At 39.2% G+C, this 24,955-nt stretch overlaps 1 protein-coding gene across 8 annotated transcripts in view, besides 1 other annotated feature; it reads left to right on the forward strand.

Annotated features, from left to right (window-relative positions):
* PRIM2 (DNA primase subunit 2) overlaps positions 1-24,955 on the forward strand; it is a 425,311-nt gene that overhangs the window by 92,741 nt on the left and 307,615 nt on the right. For 5 of the 8 annotated variants that reach the window (NM_000947.5, XM_047418988.1, XM_047418990.1 and 2 more), the window contains exons 1-5: positions 3,350-3,421; positions 4,157-4,319; positions 6,177-6,280; positions 9,921-10,000; positions 11,645-11,765. In NM_000947.5, the coding sequence (NP_000938.2) occupies positions 4,166-4,319; positions 6,177-6,280; positions 9,921-10,000; positions 11,645-11,765 (459 nt within the window). In that variant the 5' untranslated portion in view covers positions 3,350-3,421; positions 4,157-4,165. Of the gene's footprint in view, positions 1-524; positions 641-3,349; positions 3,422-4,156; positions 4,320-6,176; positions 6,281-9,920; positions 10,001-11,644; positions 12,088-24,955 lie in introns of those variants that run through there. The other 3 variants (NM_001282488.2, NM_001282487.2, XM_047418987.1) reach the window with 3 other exon arrangements.
* Positions 2,435-2,484: a silencer, noted in NCBI's record as "silent region_17305". NCBI's record gives its function as "represses an Ori minimal core promoter by ATAC-STARR-seq in GM12878 lymphoblastoid cells {active_cell/tissue: GM12878}" and the evidence as "EXISTENCE:reporter gene assay evidence [ECO:0000049][PMID:35858748]".

Below are 24,955 nucleotides of genomic sequence, written 5' to 3' on the forward strand. Positions count from 1 at the left end.
GAGGCAGGTGGATCACCTGAGGTCAGGAGTCTGAGACCAGCCTGGCCAACGTGGTGAAACCCCGTCTCTACTAAAAAAGCAAAAAAATAGCTGGGCATGGTGGCAGGCGCCTGTAATCCCAGCTACTCGGGAGGCTGAGGTAGGAGAATTGCCTGAACCCAGGAGTTGGAGGTTGCAATGAGCCGAGATCATGCTACTGCACTCCAGCCTGGGCAACAGAGCGAGACTTCGTCTCAAAAAACAAAACAAAACCAAAGAAAAAACAAAAACAATTCAGTTTCATAAGTATTTATTGAGGGCCCATGGAGTGCCAGGCACTGGGGTCACAGAAATGAATGAAACAGTCATCCCTGTTTTTGAGATGCTATGGTTCAGTGGAAGTAAAACTTACATGTTTATGTATGTTTTCCTTCCCATGATTGTGAGGTCAATGTCTGTATTTACAAGAATCTTGGTTGCCAGGGCTGAGCATTGTGTCAATCAATTTTTTGTAGATGAAGTGAATACATGAAAGAGCTCACAGTGATTTACTGAACATGGCTGCTGAAATGTATAACATTATTGTGCATTATTGCTACCGTGATATGCGGATTTATATTGCAATTGCCTCTGGATTCAGAAAAACACCCTTCACAGTGAGGTAGTGACCAAAACTGTGGCATTAGGAAACAATAAAAATGCTGGAATAGCTGACCAACACAGGGTATTTTGTTCCCCGGGGCTTAAAATCAGTTTTTAATATGATGAAAAGGCAGCTATTATGTGACATAGTAAGATATTGGTATGTTAAGCATGAACATATATTTCCAGTTTTCTCTGAGCTGGTCATGAAATGACACTGGCTACTTCGTCTTTTAATTGGGCAGATATTGTAGGAAGTACTTTGGGGATCACAGAGATGAACAAAAGGGCTCATCCAAAGAAAGCTTAAAACCTAGTAGTGCTGGAATTCTTAACTAGCCACATATGGTGATCTTGAACCTCTTGAAATAGTATAGATGTGTGTGTAGGTGCATTTTTCTGAAGAGAGCTTTCATCACATTGTCCAGTGGTTCATAGACCTAATTAACATCCCTCTACTACAGAAGTTCTTAATCTTGATCTTCCAAAAGATAAAGAACTTCTGTAGTAGAGGGCTATAATTATTTAAAGAACTACACCATATGGGAGTCATGAAGAGCCTCAGGGGTTTAAATGAGGAGCAAAACAGGTGGCAACACTGAGTAGTTTCATTATAAAATCCTTGACAATTTTGCAGGAGAAAATTTCTTTGCCTCTAGTGATAAAAACATTTTTCATATTTAACAGTAGTTATTTTTTCTATGAGTTACCTCTTCTTCTTCTTGTCCTATTTTTCTGTTTGTGTCTTAGGATTTTTTTCCTAATGAGTTAACTTCTTTGTATCCTGATGGCATTAACCTTTTCGATGTTATACTTTTGGTAGACCTTTCTCTAGTTTGATGAGTGCAAAATACTTCTGTGAATTTTTTACATGCATAATTTTATACTTTTTATGGTCAAGTCTTTATATCTTTTTTCTTTGTAATTTATAATATTTAAATTTGTTTGCTATCCAGAGATAAGATATTCATGTAAATATTCTTATGGTCTGTGATGCAGGTTTTTTCAGGCAGTTTATATGCTTTCAGGTGTCTTCTTTGGACCACGTGATGTATTTGTATTACGTATTTGTATTATGTATTTAATACAGAGAGGAAGAAATGAGGTGAAGCTCTGCTGTCATATTACTGGAATTGGTGTAGTGAGATCGTTAGCACAGTGGGGCCTGGAGAGTTTCTCTGGGTTTGAACATGGCTCTGACATTTTGTGTCCTTTTGACTTCATTTAACTTCTCTGTTCTTCAGTTTCCGTATCTAGAAAATACGTTTAATATAATAACCTTTGGGAGGCCGAGGTGGGCGGATCACGAGGTCAGGAGTTCGAGACCAGCTTGCCAACATGGTGAAACCCCATCTTTACTAAAAATACAAAAATTAGCCAGGCGCCTGTAATCCCAGCTATTTGGGAGGCTGAGGCAGGAGAATCGCTTGAATCCCGGAGGCGGAGGTTGCAGTGAGCCAAGATCGCTCCACTGCACTCCAGCCTGGGCGACAGAACAAGACTCTGTCTCGGGTATTGGTGGTGGGTCGGGGGGAATAACCTATCTTATGTGGTTATGATAATAAAATGAGTTGATATGTAAACCACTTAGAACAGGTCCTGATATAAAGTCAGTGCCAGCCACAGTTTAGTCCAGGCTGGGTAGATGCTTTGAAGCTTGATATTGTTTCAATGTACTTTGCATTTCTAAAAACGTGAACATTTCAAAGCATTCATTTGATCTCCTAAGGACTACCTATACCGGAGCCTCATTCCAGCACATTTGTAAGCGAGGCACGCCTCCTAGAGGCCACGAGTGAAGTTAATTTCCAGTTCTCGAAAATCTTACAGACAGCGGAGAACTGGTGTGGTGGCTCTGACGCCCCGCTTGTGAGTCTGCAGTCGGACATCTGGAAAGTAAGCGGCACGTCCGCGTGATTTCCAGTGCTTCATCTTCTTCCACCCTACCTTCCCTCCGAGGCTGGGTTCTTCTAATTCCTGTAGATTGCAGAGCGATTCCTGCGAATGTGCCTTCTTTCATTCATTCTAGTTCATTCCACAGATAATTCAGCTGCGCGCTTCCTCTGTGCGAGGCATTGCCGGAGAGCGGGGAGCGAATTGAACGTGGAACCTGCCAGTAGGGGCTTGCCGCCCAATACGAAATTCAAAATATGTATTGTATGTAGACGGGCAAACTAACGAGGATCTTGTAACTTGTTTTCTCATCTGCCAAATGGGGGTAATACGATCTTATAGGACCTTATAGGTCGCTGAAAGATTAAACGAGCGGAAAAAAAAGAGCCCCTAATAGTGAGCTAGGTGCAAAAAAGATCCTAATGCCTTTTTTCCTCATTCCTCCCCAGATTGAAAGTGATGAGTGCCAGCCCTGAGGGTTAAAGCGCCATATTTTCCTCAATATAGGGAATATTTGTTAGTGTCCCCAGACGAAGTTACATTGGTTCAATTTTCGGCGTGTGGGAGTTTTCGCCACTAGCATTCAGCACCCCAGTTTCAACCGTTAAAGCTACCGACTCCACATACAGGAAATGCATCTTAAAATTTGGAAAAAAAATCCCCAAAACACTGACATCCAAACACTTTAAAGCTGCCAAGGTGGACGGAACACCTTGAATTCCCAGACGCGCTCCACTGAGCATGCCCAGAGCCTCAGGCCAAACCCCCTCCTACCCGCCAAGGGGAGGTGGGGCAGGGCTGGCCTTCTGTGCTAGTCACTTCCTCTTCCGGTTTCATATGAACTCTCCCGCCACCCGGGAACAGTGGCTGCCACCGTTTGTGTTTTCCCGAGTTTGAATTCTTGCAGGTAGGGGAAACTTCCGCGAATTTAGGACAGAGAGCAATCCTGTTATTAAGGCTTGCAAGTCGAGAGAAAGGAGAGATGGATCACTTTGCAGGCAGCAGTAGCAGAAGGACAGACTTGGCGGGTTGGTTGTTTGGGGCAGACACCCAGGTACCAGGGAGGAGTTGGGGAGAGATAGGTTTGCCAGTGGAGTGAGGAGGGGTGTTGGGGATGGAACTTTTGTAAGGCACTTGTGGATGCTCCCGAAAAGGAGTTCCGAAAGACAGTTGCTCTGTTTCCCAGAGTCATAACAGAGGAAGTGAGTAACTGGACCCAGTCCATCAAGTAAGACCCTCATTTAGCCAGAACCTACAGCACTTTCCTCTAAGTTCAGGATTGCAGACCACGTAAAACCTTATGTTAACTCTTGGGATCGTAAAGATCCAAGAACAGTGACACACAGGCCTATAATGAGCAGGCAACATCACCTGACTTTCATGTTGCTGAAAATTAGGATCACCACCTGCATCTGCTCTAGCGCCTCTCCCACCCCCATTACAAAATTATTATAGGTGTATTGTAGAAAATCTGGAAACGAGAGAAGGACATCACCCAGGAATTGCCACTGCTAACATTTTGTGCATGCCCTCAAATCCATTTTTTTTCTGTGTTTGTGGAATTATTTTTTCGTGTTTTTTCTTTTTTTTCCCCCAACTTTGTTTTCCATCATTTTACGCTTTTTGTGTACTTCCTTCTAAGGTGACCAAGATGGAGTTTTCTGGAAGAAAGTGGAGGAAGCTGAGGTTGGCAGGTGACCAGAGGAATGCTTCCTACCCTCATTGCCTTCAGTTTTACTTGCAGCCACCTTCTGAAAACATATCTTTAATAGAATTTGAAAACTTGGCTATTGATAGAGTTAAATGTAAGTACTATTTAAATTAGAATGTATATATTCTTGAGAAGCTCACTTACCCTTTGTGAGAATGAATGAAGGTAATTCATTTCCTTCATTCAGCAATCCATTCAACAAGTATTTATTGAGGTAATTCATATCCTTCATTCAGCAATCCATTCAACAAATATTTGTTGAGGGTTTGGTACTCATTCATTTATTTATTGTACAATGCATATTATTGAGTGCCATTATGTTCTAGGTGGCAGGGATTTTGAGATGAATAATGTTATTTTTTGTTGAAGTTTTATTCTAGTACATGGAGACAGACATCCAAAATAATAGTCATAATTCAGTATTTTAACTGCTCTAGTAGAAGTAAATGGTAGTGCTGTTGAAACAAAGAAGTGGGAGTGACTGACTTAGTCTTATTAAATGAGCTTCTTAGAGAAGTTGAAATGTGATCTGGACATACTGAAGAATGAGTAGAAATTTTCCAGCAGAGAAGAAGTGAAGAGTTTTTCCAAGCTGAGATAATGGCCTATGCAAAGGCTTGGAGCATGAAAGAGAATTTCATATTTGAGCTAACAGTAACAAGTTCAGGAATTCAGGGTGGATGGAGAAGTATGGAGGGCATTTTGTGCCATGCTAATGATATGATATTGGGGTGTAAGAAGGATGTGGCCACCGTCCTGGGGGCCTACTTAATCCTCAGTGTGTTGCTAGAGAAAAGAATGGGCTAGACATGAATTGAAACAGAAACACTAGCGTTGTCTTCAGAGTTTATGTTCCAGGATATCCCTGTGGGGAAATCAGAAGGAAAGGTGAGATACTGTTAATCATTCTTAGAGGAGCAGGGTAAGCACTGCTAATACAGAGAGGAGGCACTCAGTGCCTGTGTGTTGAATGAAAGAATGAAGACAAGGGAGAAAAGGGTTTTAGAAAGCTTAGCAGTGTCAATACTTCATAGGGATTAAGATGGTGATTGAAAAGTGTCCCTTGGGTTTGGCACTTGAGGTGAAATGATAAGGGCCTGAACTATGATAATGACAATGGCAGTGGTAGGAAGGGAGAGAGTTAAGGGATACTGAGGAGTTAGCATTGATAGGATTTGGTGACTGGATATGAGGAGTGAGGGAGCAGGTGTGGAGTGGCTGCAGTTCCTGCTTGGATGATCTGATGCATGGAAACTCTGCTGCTGGAGATGGGCATGGCAGGACGAAGAGTAGGAATGAGGGGAGGATAATTAATTTGGATACCCATACCTGTGGGACATGGGGTTTATGTTCAGGAGACAATTAGAAGTTCTTCATTCTTGACTTCAAAAATGCCTCCAGAGAATAATTCATCTGAGGAAAGATTGATATGGTGCTTTAGGAACCTTTGAACAGTATGTAGCATCTGTTCAGGATGGTTCATTTGGCTGTTTGGATGGCCTTTCTTCTTCACTGTTGTGCTCTGTCCTCGGCTTCATCAGGAAAGGAAGGGATGCTTTTTTTCTGTTGAATCTATGCCAAGTAAATGATGCCTACTGCCTAACAGGCAGCTCCCATACGAAGGATGCAAACAAGGAGTGCCTAGTTTTTTTTTCCATACTGACATACTTTTCTGTTCCTCAGGAATGATTATTCACCATCCATCCCTCTTCCCTGATTGAGAATCCCTGGTATTAAATTATGCTGTGGGACATGGATATTTTCTGCACATAGATGGACATTATCCTCTTATAAGCATATGTAGTTTATATGATGTCGTTACAGGAAATAAACTGGCAATTACCTGTCATGTTCTGTAAACAAGTAATTATGGAATTGCCCTCCATAGATTTTGTCTTGGATTTAGTTTTAAAACATTATCTTGCATTTATACCTTTTTTCTTTTTTTTAGTGTTAAAATCAGTTGAAAATCTTGGAGTGAGCTATGTGAAAGGAACTGAACAATACCAGAGTAAGTTGGAGAGTGAGCTTCGGAAGCTCAAGTTTTCCTACAGAGTAAGTAAAAAAGGAAAAAAAAGTTCCTTCAGTTTCTATGCATTTATGTATTGAGTGTCACTTGTGGGAAAGATATTATATTAGGCACTGGGCTTTTATAAAGACTAATGTATCATTAGCCTGAAGGTTCTTCAGTGTATTAGGGGTGATTGACATGAAGTCAGATGATTATAATATGGCAGGGTTTCTCAACCTCAGGACTAACATCATTTTGGGTCTGATAATTCCTTGTTGCAGGGATTGTTCTGTGCACTGTAGGATGCTCAGTAGCATCTCTGGCTTCTACCCCTACATATTTCCAGACATGCCAAATGTATCCCGTGCAATACAGGATGATGACTGTGTTTATAGATGCATGCTCCAGGAACTCCAAAAACATACATAATTATGCAGCTCAGATTGGGGAGGTTTGGGAAGGCTTTCCAGAAGAGGTAGTAGTGGAGCTGCATGTTGACAGATGTGATTAGATTTTCATTTTGGGAAGATGACTGCCAGCAGCAGATTGACAGGGTCATGTCTGTTAGGAGGGAAACCAGTTAGAAGCCCGGAAATGATGAGAGTCTGAATTAAATGAGAGAAGGGGACCGGTTGAAGAGACATTAAGAAGGTAGAATCAAAAGGTTTTAGTGACTGATTGTAGGGGGAATGGAGAGAGAAGAGTTATAAATGACACCCAGGTTTCTAGTTAGGAAAATTAGTGGATGGTGGTAATATTTTGAGATGTGATATGCAGGAGGAGAAGCAAGTCTTGGAAGACGTAGAGTTTAGTTCTTAACATGAATTTGAGGTGCCTGTGGAGATGTCTAGTGGACAATTGGATATACAGGTCTGAATATACAGGAAGACATGTGGTGGGAGTAGATTTAGCAGAAGGTTGGAATCATCAGGAGTAGGTAAGAGCACCCTAGAAAAATATTTGAGTGAGAAGAGATGACAGTGGAAGTTAAGACATGAGGAATACCAATATTGAAGGTAAAGTGGAATTGGAGGAATTTGGGAAGGAGAATGGAAAGGAGCTTTCTCAGAAGTAGGAGATGAACCAGGATAGTAGTGTCATAGAAGCCAAGGAGGGCTAGAGTTTCAATAATAATGATCATGATATTAATAATGATAATAGGGAATAACAGCAGATATTTATATTAATAGTATGTTTGCTATGTACCAGATTTTGTTCTAAGTGCATTACATATATTAACCCATGTATGTAATTCATACAGCAGTCTTATGAGGTGGGTATTATTATCATCCCTATTTTACAGATACAGCCTATTTATTCACAGACTGAATAACTTGCCCAAGCTCATAAGATGGTAAATGGTGGAGCCAAGATTTGAATCTGGGTATTTTGTTTCTGTAGTGGTGCTTTTAACCACAATAGTTTCAGAAGCTTAAGATAGATTATGTAAGATGAATTGTACAGTGTCCATTGGATTTAGCAGCTGGATGGGCCCTTATAGATAGGGGCAGAGACCAGAACAATGACAGTGGTTGGAGAAGGAAGGTGGAGCGGTGGATATAGAAGATGTACTTTTTTAAAATGTGTAGCTGAAAAGAGAAGAGAAATAGGGCAGAATATAGGGGTTGTTTTAGGGAAAAGAGAAGATATACAAGCACACACTTGTACATATATGACAGGAGATACTTAAACATGTTTATAAGCTGAGCAGAAGATCTAGAATAGAATGGGGAAGAGGGGAGCTTGAAGTTGAAACTTTGAGAGAGCATTTGATAAGTCAGGGTCTTTAAGAGGCACAAGCAAATGGGTTGCGGGGTTTAGGTGCAGGAATTAGCTTTTCATATGGTTTGGCTGTGTCCCCACCCAAATCTCATCTTGAATTGTAGTTCCCATAATCCCCATGTGTCATGGGAGGGACCCGGTGGGAGGTAATTGAATCATGGGGGTGGTTACCCCCATGCTGCTATTCTAGATAGTGAGTTCTCACAAGATCTGATGGTTTTATAAGGGGCTTTTCCCTATTTTGCTCAGCACTTCTCCTTACTGCCACCATGTGAAGAAGGACGTGTTTGTTTCCCCTTCTGCCATGATTGTAAGTTTCCTGAGGTCTCCCCAGCCCTGGGGAACTGTGAGTCAGTTAAACCTCTTTCCTTTTATGGGTTTACTCAGTCTTGGGTATGTCTTTATTAGCAGCATGAGAATGGACTAATGTAGCTTTACATGCCAGGAAGAGGAGATGCTTTGTAGAGATGTATGGAAGGCAACACAACATGTGTATGCGGAAGCTTGGGACTGAAGGATTCTGCCTGGTAGCCTTTATTTTCTGTAAAGTAGGTGAAGTCATCTGTTCAGAGAGAAGGGAAAGGTGCTATAGTAGGGGTCTTGGGACAACTGGTGAAGACTGACGATTTTCTGAGAAGTGAGGAAGGAGATGATTTTGTGTCGAATCTCAACACTGCTGCTTACTCTGGACAAGCTTTGTGACCCTGAACAAGTTACATAACTTCTCTGTGCCTCAGTTTCCTTATCTGTAAAATAAGATTATAGTAGTGCCTCCCTCATAGGGTTTTTTTTTTTTTAAAGGATTAAATGGGTTCATGCCTTAAAAATTCTTAGGGCACCGCCTGGTACCTAGTGAGTGCTCAAGACATGTTTGTTCTTATTATTTTGGATCCAACTGTTGGTAAGGATCTAGTTGAGATTATAGGCCACGAAATTATATTTTCCAAATTCCCATAGTTGTGTTTTTTCTCCAGAGGTTCTTAGCATTTTGAGAATAGGACTGCAGAGTGTAGTTGTAGATTAAGAATCTAGGTTTTGCCAAATGGTTGAAATTAAAGAAGCTGAGGTTGGTGTAAGAAGTGGTTGAGGTGGTGAGCACCTTGGATATAGGCTGGATAAGAAGAAAATTAAAAGAGAGGGGTTGGTGGGAAGAAAATAGTGCGGTCCAAACTCAAGGGGTTTTGTCAAGATTAGTTTACTTCTCGGTTTCATCTGATTGATAGCTTAAGGTAAATGATAATTATCCTGAAAAGCATATTAAGAAATGTTTTGGCAATGAGAACACATGGACACAGGGAGGGGAACACCCCACACCAGGGCCTGTCAGGGGGTTGGGGTCAAGGGGAGAGACAGCATTAGGACAAATACCTAATGCATGTGGGGCTTAAAACCTAGATGACGGGCAGCAAACCACCATGGCACACGTATACCTATGTAACAAACCTGCACATTCTGCACATGTATCCCAGAACTTAAAGTAAAAAGGAAAAAAAAAAAAGAAATGTTTTGGGACTGGGTGTGGTGGCTCATGCCTGTAATTCTAGTGCTTTGAGGGACTAGAGTAGGAGTCTTGAAACCAGGAGTTCATAACCAGCCTAGGCAACATATTGAGACTCCATCATACAGAAGATAAAAAATTAGCGGGGCATGGTGGGTGTCGCTTGTAGTCCCAGCTGCTTGGGAGGTTGAGGCTGGAGGATCACTTGAGCCCAGGAGTTTGAAGTTACAGTGAGCTGTGATTGACCACTACTCTCCAGTCTGGGTGGTAGAGCAAGACCCCATCTCTAAAAAAAGAAATGTTTTTGAAACTTACTTTACCATTGGCTTAGGCTGGCTCAGTATTTCCTTACACCTCTTACCATTCTAATGCATTTATTTTATTCATGTGTCATTATTTTTAAGGAAAACTTAGAAGATGAATATGAACCACGAAGAAGAGATCATATTTCTCATTTTATTTTGCGGCTTGCTTATTGCCAGTCGTAAGTATATGTTTATATTCTCACAGTCAAATCTGGTGTCATGGGTTATAAATTGGTGTGTGGTAAGTTGATGTGTTGTGCTAAACATAGGAAAACCCAGAATAACATCAGGAGCCGGTTGATCATGGGGTTGAACACTGACAGTAAATTGTTTGGAAGAAATTGTTTACTTAAAAATATTGAAAAAAATTCTATCGCAGAATTTTGCCTGATGAAACACTTCTTAAGTTTGTGAGATAGACTCTTCATTTGGGATTTTAAATTGGAAAGGATTTTATTGGGAAGAAGGACTTTTGATATTTTTCCTGCAAAAAAATGGTAATATTTATAAGAAACAATTAATGAAACCCACACTTGAATTTGATACAGGTTTTTGGAATTTGAGCTCTATGGGCCAGTTAAATCGAAGATATTTTTGTTTGGTAGTTGGTTTCTTTTAAGTTAATAGTGCCACCCAGAGGTAGTAAAGTTAGTTGCTTTTTTAAAAATTGTTTTTCCCTCACATGTTAATTTTGGTCACATAATTTAGTTATGGCTGTCTTTTTTTAAAATTAATAAGCTTATCAAGTGAGACTCTGGAATTGCTTACTATCCCAAGATAATAATTGAGAAATTACTTACCAGTTTTGGTTCTAGAGTTTTTCTTCTGTAAAAAAGCATATGTAGTTTGTGAAATTTATATAATAAATATGTTGCTGACAATCTGTGAAAATCTCCTAAAAATGTGAAATCATATTTTGCATCCAGTAGGGTAATTATTTTATTATATAACGATAATGCCCATTAGTATCTGCCTTATAAATGAACGTTATTGCTTTTAAATATTGTGGTATATATGTGCATATTAAATTTTGTGAAATTATCAATTATAAAGCCATAAGCAAAGTTTCCTTTGCAAAGTTAATCTGATCAAAGTTGCCTTAAAAAATTTGGTGTCTTTTATTTGGCATTTATAAAGACACCTCAAGCCAAAGGAGTGCCCCATTTCCCCATTTTCTTTTTTTTTTCTCTTTTCTCTCTCTCTCTTTTTTTTTTTTGAGCTAGGGTCTCATGCCATTACCTAGGCTGGAGTACAGTGGTGTGATCTCGGCTCACTGCAGCCTCAACATCCGTGGGCTCAGGTGATCCTCCCACCTCAGCCTCCTGAGGAGCTGGGACTATAGGCACATGCTACCATGCCTGGCTAATTTTTTTGTAGATATGGGGTTTTACCAACTTGCCCAGGCTGGTCTCAAACTTCTGGGCTCGAGCAATCTGCCTGCCTTGACCTCCCAAGGTGCTGGGATTACGGGCATGAACCACGACGCCCAGCCCCTATTTTCTAACATAAAATGAATATTTTGCAGTTACATTAAATGCATGAAGTATTTTATGTTATTTAAAAATAATGCAGCTAGTCTCGAAGCATTCTTGTATTTAATCTTTTTAATTTTTAACACCCCCTATACCTTGTACCCAACCCATCCTTAGAAGATTGTGATATGTGGTATTGATATTCTCCTTACCGTGATAGAGGACTTGCATGTTTTTAACTGCTGTCCATTGGCATCTTGCTGATGTTTGAATATTGTTTTATAAACATTTCTTAGATTTAATAATTACTGGATTTTTAGTTTGTACTCATAATTTCTGTCTTCATTTCAGTGAAGAACTTAGACGCTGGTTCATTCAACAAGAAATGGATCTCCTTCGATTTAGATTTAGTATTTTACCCAAGGATAAAATTCAGGATTTCTTAAAGGATAGCCAATTGCAGTTTGAGGCTGTAAGTATATTTTTGTAGTTATTTCTAATTGTTCTCACCATTCATTTTTCCCTTCTGTCTTAAGTGCTGGTACTAATGTGTAGTGTGTTCTCTTTACATTCTCCAAGTACCTGCCTGAAACAGTAGCTAATAGCTTTGGATAACAATATATCTTTCCTTCTCTATGACTAGAAGAAAAGGACTCCTTAATAACAAAGTCTCACACTTACTTGCTCTGTTAAATGTGTGCTTTATTAAAGCACAAGAAGGTTTAGTTTATAAAGGTTCATCTTTAACCAAAATTTTGTCGGCCAAAATAAAGCTAATAATGTGTTAAACTAGACAAGTGGTAGTTTCTTATTTATAGTCGTGAAATTTAGAGGAGGTAATACTTTATTTAAAAGTCAGTTGTCAGGCGGGGCGTGGTGCCTCACACCTGTAATCCCAGCACTTTGGGAGTCTGTGGTGGGCAGATCACTTGAGGTCAAAAGTGCGAGACCATCTTGACCAACATAGTGAAACCCCCACTCTACAAAAAATACAAAAATTAGCCAGGCATGGTGCTGCGCGTCCATAATTCCAGCTAGTCAGGAGGCTAAGGCATGAAAATTGCTTGAACCCGGGAGGTGGAGGTTGCAATGAGCTGAGATCATGCCGCTGCACTCTAGTCTGGGCGAAAGAGCAAGACTCCGTCTCAAAAAAAAAATAAAAACCATAAATCAAAAATGTCAGTAAGATCTGTATGAATAGTTTTAAAAAATAATTTTGCAGACATATCTGAATGATTTACATATTGTAATTATATAAAAAAAGAAGAGATCTTTGGGACTCATTTAATGGGGATGAGTATTGGAAATAGAATTTGTATCTTTTTTTTTTTTTTTTTTTTTTTTTTGAGATGGAGCCTCACTCTGTCATCCAGGCTGGAATATGCAGTGGCCTGATCTCGGCTCACTGCAACCTCCACCTTCTGGGTTCAAGCGATTCTCCTGCCTCAGCCTCCTGAGTAGCTGTGACTACAGGTGTGTGCCACCATGCCTGGCTAATTTTTGTATTTTTAGAGACGTAGTTTTGCCATGTTGGCCAGGGTGGTCTTGAACCCCCTGACCTCAGGTGATACACCCGCCTCGGCCTCCCAAAGTGCTGGGATTACAGGTGTGAGCCACCGTGCCGGGCCTAGAATTTATGTCTTTTAGGTAGATATATGCCACAATGGGAATGTAGAAACATTATGTTTTGGAAGTTTTAGAGCAGTCAGATGGTAGTAGGACTGGCAGAGACTCTATTTTGTTGTTGGAATGCGTGGCTTAAAGCCAAATAAAATAAAAAAGTAGAAGTTGCAATAGGTGAAAGACATTGTCCTGTCTGACAAGTAGAAGACATATCCACTGTAGCAAGGAACACTATGGAGTATATGAGTTAGGGAAAAGAGACTGTGAAGGGAAGTGAACAAACATTTTGTAGACGTTTAGTGTCAAATATATGCTAGGTAGGCAGTTTCTATAGTTTCTTTCATTTACTTCATGAGGTTTCTAAGTCACATCTACCTTTGCATAGACAGATGTCATGCATGGTACCATCTGAACCAAACCCACTGCATCTTCCACTTTGCTTTTAACTTTGATCCTTGGTGAAGTCCATTATTGCAATTATCAATTACAGTTAATTTATCCATTCCTATTAGAAATAGTTTATTTTTTGCTTTTGTTGAAATTACTGATTTTTAGTAGGTCATAGAGAGAGGTGTCCTTGAGAAGGTCTATTATTTATTCTAGGGCAGCCATCTCCAACCTTTTTGGCACCAGGGACTGGTTTCATGGAAGACAATTTTTCCACGGACTGAGGTCGGGGGATGGGGAGGGGTGTGGATGGTTTTGGGATGAACAGATCCACCTCAGATCATCAGTCATTAGATTATCATAAGGAGTGCACATCTTAGATCTCTCACATGTGCAGTTCATAATAGGGTTCGCACTCCTATAAGAATCTAATGCCTCCACTAATCTGACAGGAAGTGGAGTTCAGGTGGTAATGCTCGCTCACTGCTCACCTCCTGTGCAGCCTGGTTCCTAATGGGCCATGTGCTGGTGCTGGTATTGTGGCCTGAGAGTTGGAGACCCCAGTTGTAGAGTGTCTCAGCGTCACATATACTTTTTTAAATAATAGATTTATTGAGCTAGAATTCACAAATCTTGACATGCACCCTTTTACAATGTATAATTCATTGGTTTTTAGTGTAATTACAGATTGTGCAATCAACACTACTATGTAATTTTAGAACATTTTCACCTAAAAATGAAACCTCTTACCCATTTATGGTCATTCCCTATTCTTCCTCTCCCAACCCTTGGCAACCACTAACCTGCTTTCTGTCTCTGGATTTGTCTATTCTGAACATTTCATATAAATGGAGTCATACAATATGTGGTCCCTTGTGGTTGACTTCTTTTACTTAGCATAATATTTTCAAGTTTCATCTGTGCTGTAGAATGTATCAGTATTAATTTTTTAATTGCCAAATAATATTTTACCTGTTCAGCATTCGAGGGACATTTGGATGGTTTCCATATTTTGGCTATTATGAATAACGCTACAGTGAATATTTGTGTCCAGGTTTTTGTGTGAATATGTTTTCCTTTCTCTCAGGTGTATACCTAGGAGTAGAATTGCTAGGTCATAGGGTGATTCTGTGTTTAAACTTTTGAGGAGCTATCAAAATGTTTTCCAAAGTGGCTGTATCATTATATATCTTACCAGCAGTGGATGAGGGTTCCACTTTCTCCATATCCTCACCAAAAATTGTTACCTTTTAAAAAAATATAGCCATCATAGTGAGTATGAAGTGGTATGTAATTGTGGTTTTGATTTGCATTTCTAATGAAGCTGAATATCTTTTCATATGCTTATTGGTCATTTGTATATCATCTGTGAAGAGATGTCTGTTCAAATCCTTTGCCTGTTTTGTAGTTGAATTGTTTGGCTTTTTATTGTTGAGTGTTCTTTACATATTCTGGATACAAGTCCATTATCAGATATATGATTTACAAATATTTTCCCCCACTCTGAAGGTTGTCTTTTCTTGATGGTATTGTTTGCAACAAAAAGGTTTTTTTTTTTCAGATGAAGTCTAATTTATCTTTTTTTCTTGTCACTTGTGCTTTTGGTATTGAGTCTAAGAAGTCTTTGTCTAATGTGAGGTCATAAAGATTTACTCCTACAGTTTTTTCTGTAAGAGTTTTGTAGTTTTAGCTCTTACGTTTATATCTGTGGTTCATTTTGTGTTAATTTCTATACACGGTGTGAAGTAAGGGTCCAACTTCATTCTTTTGCATGTAGATATCTAGTTGTCCCAGCATCATTTGTTGAAATAACCATTCTTTCCTCATTGAATTGTCTTGGCACACTTGTCAAGTCAGTTGACTGTTGATATGGTTTGATTGTGTCCCCACCCAAATCTCATCTTGAATTGTAGTTCCCATAATCCCCACGTGTCATGGAAAGGACTTGGTGGGAGGTAACTGAATCATGGGGGCAATCTCCCCCATGGTAGTCTCATGATAATAAGTTCTCACTAGATCTGATGGTTTTATAAGGGGCCTCCCCCTTTGCTTGGTTCTCATTCCCTCCCCTGCCGCCCTGTGAAGAGGTGCCATCTGCCATGATTGTAAGTTTCCTGAGGCCTCCCCAGACACGCAGAGGGCTCAGGATTAAACCTCTTTCCTTTATAAATTACCCAGTCTCAGGCAGTTCTTTACAGCAGCGTGAGAACAGACTAATACAACTGTAAATGTAAACATTTATTTCAGTACTCTTAATTTTATTCCATTGATCTGTCTGCTTATCCTTATGTCAGTAGTATGTGGTCTTGATTATTGGTTACTGTGGCTTTATTGTTAAGATTTAAAATTGAGAAGTATGAGTTCTCCAGCTTTGTTCTTTTTTAAGATTGTTTTGGCTGCTCTGGGTTCCTTGCATTTTTTAATGAATTTTGGGATCAACTTGTTAATTTCTACCAAGAAGCTAGCTAGGATTTACACTGGGATTACATTGAATCTGTAGATCAGTTTGGGAGGTATTCTTTTGTAATGATATTAAGTCTTCCAATCCATGAACATGGGATGTCTTTCTATTTATTTAGATCTTCTTTAATTTTTTTCAACAATGTCTTGTAATTTTTTGTTACATTTATACCTAAATATTCTTCAATGTTATTGTAAGTGGAGTTGTTTTCTTCATTTCATTTTTGGAATGTTCATTGCTAGTATATAAAAATCCAGGTGATTTTTGTATATTGATCTTGTATCCTGCAACCTTGCTGAACTTGTTTTTTTTTTTTGTTTTTGTTTTTTTGTTTTTTTGTTTTTTTTTTTTTGAGATGGAGTCTTGCACTGTAGCCGAGGCTGGAGTGCAAGCTCCACCTCCTGGATTCATGCCATTCTCCTGCCTCAGCCTCCCGCCGGCCACCACACCCTGCTAATTTTTTGTATTGAACTTGTTTTTTAATTCTAACAGTTTTATAGTGGATTCATTATGAGATTATGTTTACTACAGAGATATTCTGACTCCTTTCTAATCAGGATGCTTTTTGTTTCTTTATTTTTGCCCAATTGTCCAGCTAGAATCTCCAGTACAGTGTTGAATAGAAGTGGCAATAGCAGTGATCATGATCTCAGGGGAAAGCATTTAGTCTTTCACTATGTTGCATGGTTTTAGCTGTGAGTTTTTTTTATAGATGCCCTTTATCAGATTGAGGAGATTTTCTTCTAATTCTAGTTGAATATTTTCATTAAGAAAGGATGTTGTATTTTGTCAGTGCTTTTCCTGCACCAATTGAGATGATCATGTGGTTTCTGTCCTTTATTAATATGGTGTGTTGGGCCGGGCGCGGTGGCTCACACCTGTAATCCCAGCACTTTGGGAGGCCGAGGTGGGCGGATCACAAGGTCAGGAGTTTGAGACCGGCCTGACCAACATAGTGAAACCCCGTCTCTACTAAAAAAAAAATACCAAAAAATTAGCCAGACGTGGTGGTGCGTGCCTGTAGTCCCAGCTACTCAGGAGGCTGAGGCAGTAGAATTGTTTGAACCCGGGAGGTGGATGTTGCAGTGAGCCGAGATCGTACCACTGCACTCCAGCTTGGGCAAAAGAGTGAGACTTTGTCTCAGAAAAAAAAAAAAAAAAGTTCTGTTACATTAATTGATTTTTGGATGTTACACCAACCTTGCAATCCTGGAATAAATCCCCCTTGGTCATGTTATATAATCTTTTAATATGCTGCTTGGTTTGGTTTGCTAGTATTTTGTTGAGGATTTTTGCATCTATATTGATAAGGGATACTGGTCTGTAGGTTTTTTGTGATGTCTATATCTGGTTTTGGTATTAGGATCATATTGGCCTCATAGAATGAGTTGGGAAATGTTTCCTCCTCTTCCGTTTTTTGGAGGAGGTTGTGAAGGATTGGTTTAAATGTTTGGTAGAATTTACCAGTGAATTAATCTGGGCCTGGGCTTCTCTTTGTGGGTCATTAAAATTACCAATTCATTCTCTTTACTTATTATGAATCTATTTAAGTTTTATATTACTTTTTGAGTCAGTTTTAGTAATTTGTGTCTTTTTTGGAATTTATTCACTTTATCTAAGTTATCTAATTGATTCATGCAGTTATTCATAGTTTTCTCTTATCCTTTTGATTTCTTTAAGAAAATAAAAGGATTGGTGATGATGTCTTCTCTTTCCTTCCTGATTTTAACAATTAGAGTCTTCTCTTTTTTTTTGTCATCTAGGTAGAGGTTTGTCAGTGTTACTGGATTTGTTCAAAGAACCAACTTTTGGTTTCATTGATTTTTCTGTGTTATTCTCTAGACTCTATTTCACTAGTTTTTACTACAGTCTTTAGTATTTCCTTCCTTCTGCTTGCTTTGGTTTGGTTTGCTCTTTTCTTCTAGTTTCTTAAGGTAGGAGTTTAGGGTATTTATCTGAGATATTTTTTCTTTTTATATGTAGACATTTACAGCTATAAATTTTCCTGTAAGCACTACTTCAGATGCAAACCATGAGTTTTTGTATGCTGTGTTTTCTTTTTCATTTATTTCAAAGTATTCTTTTTTACTTTGACACATTGATTAGAAGTGTTTAATTTCCACGTTTTTGAATTTCCTGAACTTCTGTTACTGGTTTTAATTTAATTCCATTTTAGTTTGAGAATATATTTTATATGACTGCAATCTTTTAAAATTTATTGAATTTTATTTTATGACCTAGCATATGGTCTGTTCTGGAGGATGTTCCATGTGTGCTTGTGAAGAATGTGTATCTGCTATTCTTGGTTGGAGTGTTCTGTAGATACAGTCTGTAAGATCTGGTTGGTCTATAGTGCTTTTCAAAGCTTCGGTTTCCTTGTTCATCTTCTGCCTATTTGTTCTATCCATTATTGAAAGTGGGGTACTAAAGTCTTCAACTGTTATTGTTTATTTATTATCTTTAATTCTGTCAATTTTTGCTTCATTTATTTTGGGGCTCTCTTGTTAGTTGCATATATGTTTATAATTGTTAAATCTTCTTGATGGGTTGACCCTTTTATCATTATGAAATGTTCCTCTCTAGTAACATTTTTTTGTTGTTGTTTTAAGTTATGTTTGTTTGACATTAGCATAGCCATTCCAGATCTTTTATGGTTGTTGTTTACGTGATATGTCTTTTTCTATTCTTTTTATTTTCATCCTTTATGTGTGTTTGAATCTAAAGTGTGTTTGTTGTAAATATCATATAGTTGGATCATCTTCTTTTCTTTTTTATTCATTTTGGAAGTCTCTGACTTTTGCATGGATTGTTTTATCCATTTATGTTTAATTACTGATAACTTAGTATTTCCGTGTGCCATCTATGTGTTTCCTATGTCTTAAGGTTTTTTTGTTTCTGTATTTCTCCATTACTGCCTTCTTTGTATTAAAATGGTATTTTCTAGTGTACCATTTTAATTCCTTTGCTGTTTATTTTACTGTATTTTTTGAGTTATTTTCTTCGTGGTTTCCCTTAGAATTACAATTATATTTTATTTTAAAACAATCTAGTTGGGATTAGCATTAAGTTAATTTCAATAGTGTACAAACTTTTGTTCCCATATGCTCTGTTCCCTACTCCCTGCCATTGTCCTAGTATGGTCATACAAATTATTTCTTAATATATCAACAGAGGTAAACTTTTTGTGTTCTAGATTGTATGAAAAATGTATTTATAATACTGTCAAACTTGAGTGTAGTTTGCCTTGGTATACAGGCAAATACCTGTATGTTGGGAATATTTTTTATTGGCATTTTGGAGATATTGCTTGCTGAACCTTTTAGCTTCTAGAGTTGCTCTTGAGAAGCCTGATTTCATTTTGACTTCTTATTCTTTGCATGTAACTTTGTGTCCTTTGCCAGTCCCACTCTCTTGTGTAGTGAACTTTCATGGCGATGTCTGCACCTTTTTTCACTTTTTTGGGTTGGGAACTTGGTGGACTCTTTTAATCTGAAGATTTGATTCTTCAGTTAGAAAATTTCTTTTTATTATTGCTTTAATAATTTCTTCTATGTTCTCTTTTTATAACCTCTTGTTAGGTGGAATTTATATTTTCTGGATTGGTACTCTTATTTTCTTTTCGGTCCTGACATTCAATCTTTGTGTTTTTATTTTATTTTCTGAAAACTTTCATCAACTGTTTTCTCAATTTTCTATTTATTTATTTTTCCCTCCTGTGTTTAATTTTTTTCTTTTAAATTTACTTAAAAATTGAATATAAAATTGTATGTATTCACTGTAAAATATAATGTTTTGAAGGGTACATTGTGGAATGATTACATCTAGCTAATTAACAAATGTATTACATCAACAGTTATTTTTGTGGTGAAAATACTTAATATCCACTCACTTAGCATTTTTCATCAATACAGTTTGTTGTCATTAACTGTAGACATCATGTTGTACAATGGGTCTCTTGAACTTAATACTCTTAACTGTGATTATGCATCCTTTAACAGACATCTCCCTAACCTCTTTTCCTCCCTAACCACCCCAGCTACTGGTAATCACTATTTTACCCTCTATTTCTATGAGATCAACTTTTTTAGATTCCACATATGAGTGAGATCATGACATATTTGTCTTTCTGTGCCTGGCTTTATTTACTTAACGTAATATCCCTGTTTCATTCATGGTGTTGCAAGTGGCAGGATTTTCATTTTTTTTTATGACTCAATATTATTCCGTTATGTATATATATTGCATTTAAAAAAATCCATGTATCTATCGGTGGACACTTAGGTTGATTCCGTATCTTGGCTATTGTGAATAGTGCTGCAGTAAATATGGGTGTGCAGATGTCTTCAGCATACTGATTTCATTTCCTTCAGATACATACCCAGTAATAGATTTTGCTGGAACATATGGTGGTTCTATTTTTAATTTTTTGAGGAACTTTCATATTGTTTTTCATTTCTACAAAAAATAAAAAATAGCTGGGTGTAGTGGTGCACACCTGTAATCCAGCTACTTGGGAGGCTGAGGTGGGATGATTACTTGAGCCCAGGTGTTGGAGGCTACAGTGGACTATGATCTGTAGCCCACCCTGGGCTACAGAACAAGACCCTGTCTCTCAAAGAAATAAGAGGATAATAACGATTTTCACCTCACAGATTAGTGAGGTTTAAATGAGGTAGTGCGTATAGAGTGCTTAGTACTGTGCATGGAATATATGCTGGGTAGTAATATTACGGAGGATACAGAAGCAGCATATGCCTGTATTGTGAAGAAGTTCGGAGTCAATTAGATTGATATGTTTTTACTGCAATTAAAAAAATGGTTTTGGAATAGGAACAGCTCCGGTCTACAGCTCCCAGCGTGAGCGACACAGAAGATGGGTGATTTCTGCATTTCCATCTGAGGTACCGGGTTCATCTCACTAGGGAGTGCCAGACAGTGGGCGCAGGTCAGTGGGTGCGCGCACCGTGCACGAGCCGAAGCAGGGCGAGGCATTGCCTCACTCGGGAAGTGCAAGGGGTCAGGGAGTTCCCTTTCCTAGTCAAAGAAAGGGGTGACAGATGGCACCTGGAAAATCGGGTCACTCCCACCCGAATACTGTGCTTTTCCGACAGGCTTAAAAAACGGCGCACCAGGAGATTATATCCCGCACCTGGCTCGGAGGGTCCTACGCCCACGGAGTCTCGCTGATTGCTAGCACAGCAGTCTGAGATCAAACTGCAAGGCAGCAGCGAGGCTGGGGGAGGGGCGCCCGCCATTGCCCAGGCTTGCTTAGGTAAACAAAGCAGCCAGGAAGCTGGAACTGGGTGGAGCCCACCACAGCTCAAGGAGGCCTGCCTGCCTCTGTAGGCTCCACCTCTGGGGGCAGGGCACAGACAAACAGAAAGACAGCAGTAACCTCTGCAGACTTAAACGTCCCTGTCTGACAGCTTTGAAGAGAGCAGTGGTTCTCCCAGCACCCAGCTGGAGATCTGAGAATGGGCAGACTGCCTCCTCAAGTGGGTCCCTGACCCCTGACCCCCGAGCAGCCTAACTGGGAGGCACCCCCCAGCAGGGGCAGACTGACACCTCACATGGCCAGGTACTCCAACAGACCTGCAGCTGAGGGTCCTGTCTGTTAGAAGGAAAACTAACAAACAGAAAGGACAAACACACCAAAAACCCATCTGTACACCATCATCAAAGACCAAAAGTAGATAAAACCACAAAGATGGGGAAAAAACAGAACAGAAAAACTGGAAACTCTGAAAAGCAGAGCGCCTCTCCTCCTCCAAAGGAACGCAGTTCCTCACCAGCAACGGAACAAAGCTGGACGGAGAATGACTTTGACGAGCTGAGAGAAGAAGGCTTCAGATGATCAAATTACTCCGAGCTACGGGAGGACATTCAAACCAAAGGCAAAGAAGTGGAAAACTTTGAAAAAAATTTAGAAGAATGTATAACTAGAATAACCAATACAGAGAAGTGCTTAAAGGAGCTGATGGAGCTGAAAACCAAGGCTCGAGAACTACGTGAAGAATGCAGAAGCCTCAGGAGCCGATGCGATCAACTGGAAGAAAAGATATCAGCAATGGAAGATGAAATGAATGAAATGAAGCGAGAAGGGAAGTTTAGAGAAAAAAGAATAAAAAGAAATGAGCAAAGCCTCCAAGAAATATGGGACTATGTGAAAAGACCAAATCTGCGTCTGATTGGTGTACCTGAAAGTGACGGGGAGAATGGAACCAAGTTGGAAAACACTCTGCAGGATATTATCCAGGAGAACTTCCCCAATCTAGCAAGGCAGGCCAACATTCAGATTCAGGAAATACAGAGAACGCCACAAAGATACTCCTCGAGAAGAGCAACTGCAAGACACATAGTTGTCAGATTCACCAAAGTTGAAATGAAGGAAACAATGTTAAGGGCAGCCAGAGAGAAAGGTTGGGTTACCCTCAAAGGGAAGCCCATCAGACTAACAGTGGATCTCTCGGCACAAACTCTCCAAGCCAGAAGAGAGTGGGGGCCAATATTCAACATTCTTAAAGAAAAGAATTTTCAACCCAGAATTTCATATCCAGCCAAACTAAGCTTCATAAGTGAAGGAGAAATAAAATCCTTTACAGACAAGCAAATGCTGAGAGATTTTGTCAACACCAGGCCTGCCCTAAAAGAGCTCCTGAAGGAAGTGCTAAACATGGAAAGGAACAACTGGTACCAGCCACTGCAAAATCATGCCAAAACGTAAAGACCATTGAAATTAGGAAGAAACTGCATCAACTAACGAGCAAAATAACCAGCTAACATCACAATGACAGGATAAAATTCACACATAACAATATTAACTTTAAATGTAAATGGACTAAATGCTCCAATTAAAAGACACAGACTGGCAAATTGGATAAAGAGTCAAGACCCATCAGTGTGCTGTATTCAGGAAACCCATCTCACGTGCAGAGACACACATAGCCTCAAAATAAAAGGATGGAGGAAGATCTACCAAGCAAATGGAAAACAAAAAAAGGCAGGGGTTGCAATCCTAGTCTCTGATAAAACAGACTTTAAACCAACAAAGATCAAAAGAGACAAAGCACGCCATTACATAATGGTAAAGGGATCAATTCAATAAGAAGAGCTAACTATCCTAAATATATATGCACCCAATACAGGAGCACCCAGATTCATAAAGCAAGTCCTGAGTGACCTACAAAGAGACTTAGACTCCCACACATTAATAATGGGAGATTTTAACACCCCACTGTCAACATTAGACAGATCAACAAGACAGAAAGTCAACAATGATACCCAGGAATTGAACTCAGCTCTGCACCAAGCAGACCTAATAGACATCTACAGAACTCTCCACCCCAAATCAACAGAATATACATTTTTTTCAGCACCACACCACACCTATTCCAAAATTGACCACATACTTGGAAGTAAAGCTCTCCTCAGCAAATGTAAAAGAACAGAAATTATAACAAACTATCTCTCAGACCACAGTGCAATCAAACTAGAACTCAGGATTAAGAATCTCACTCAAAACCACTCAACTACATGGAAACTGAACAACCTGCTCCTGAATGACTACTGGGTATATAATGAAATGAAGGCAGAAATAAAGATGTTCTTTGAAACCAACGAGAACAAAGACACAACATACCAGAATCTCTGGGACGCATTCAAAGCAGTGTGTAGAGGGAAATATATAGTGCTAAATGCCCACAAGAGAAAGCAGGAAAGATCCAAAGTTGACACCCTAACATCACAATTAGGATTAGAAAAGCAAGAACAGACAAATTTAAAAGGTAGCAGAAGGCAAGAAATAACTAACATCAGAGCAGAACTGAAGGAAATAGAGACACAAAAATCCCTTCAAAAAATTAATGAATCCAGGAGCTGGTTTTTTGAAAGGATCAACAAAATTGATAGACCGCTAGCAAGACTAATAAAGAAAAAAAGAGAGAGGAATCAAATAGACGCAATAAAAAATGATAAAGGGGATATCACCACTGATCCCACAGAAATACAAACTACCATCAGAGAATACTACAAACACCTCTATGCAAATAAACTAGAAAATCTAGAAGAAATGGGTAAATTCCTCGACACATACACTCTCCCAAGACTAAACCAGGAAGAAGTTGAATCTCTGAATAGACCAATAACAGGATCTGAAATTGTGGTAATAATCAATAGCTTACCAACCAAAAAGAGTCCAGGACCAGATGGATTCACAGCTGAATTCTACCAGAGGTACAAGGAGGAACTGGTACCATTCCTTCTGAAACTAGTCCAATGAATAGAAAAAGAGGGAATCCTCCCTAACTCATTTTATGAGGCCAGCATCATCCTGATACCAAAGCCGGGCAGAGACACAACCAAAAAAGAGAATTTGAGACCAATATCCTTGATGAACATTGATGCAAAAATCCTCAATAAAATACTGGCAAACCGAATCCAGCAGCACATCAAAAAGCTTATCCACCATGATCAAGTGGGCTTCATCCCTGGGATGCAAGGCTCGTTCAATATACGCAAATCAATAAATGTAATCCAGCATATAAACAGAAAGACAAAAACCACATGATTATCTCAATAGATGCAGAAAAGGCCTTTGACAAAATTCAACAACGCTTCATGCTAAAAACTCTCAATAAATTAGGTATTGATGGGACGTATTTCAAAATAATAAGAGCTATCTATGACAAACCCACAGCCAATATCATACTGAATGGGCAAAAACGGGAAGCATTCCCTTTGAAAACTGGCACAAGACAGGGATGCCCTCTCTCACCACTCCTATTCAACATAGTGTTGGAAGTTCTGGCCAGGGCAATTAGGCAGGAGAAGGAAATAAAGGGTATTCAATTAGGAAAAGAGGAAGTCAAATCGTCCCTGTTTGCAGATGACATGATTGTATATCTAGAAAACAACATTGTCTCAGCCCAAAATCTTCTTAAGCTGATAAGCAACTTCAGCAAAGTCTCAGGATACAAAATCAATGTACAAAAATCACAAGCATTCTTATACACCAACAACAGACAAACAGAGAGCCAAATCACGAGTGAACTCCCATTCACAATTGCTTCAAAGAGAATAAAATACCTAGGAATCCAACTTACAAGGGATGTGAAGGACCTCTTCAAGGAGAACTACAAACCACTGCTCAAGGAAATGAAAGAGGATACAAAGAAATGGAAGAACATTCCATG

Source organism: Homo sapiens, chromosome 6 (genome assembly GCF_000001405.40).
Source record: "Homo sapiens chromosome 6, GRCh38.p14 Primary Assembly".
Taxonomy (NCBI): domain Eukaryota; kingdom Metazoa; phylum Chordata; class Mammalia; order Primates; family Hominidae; genus Homo; species Homo sapiens.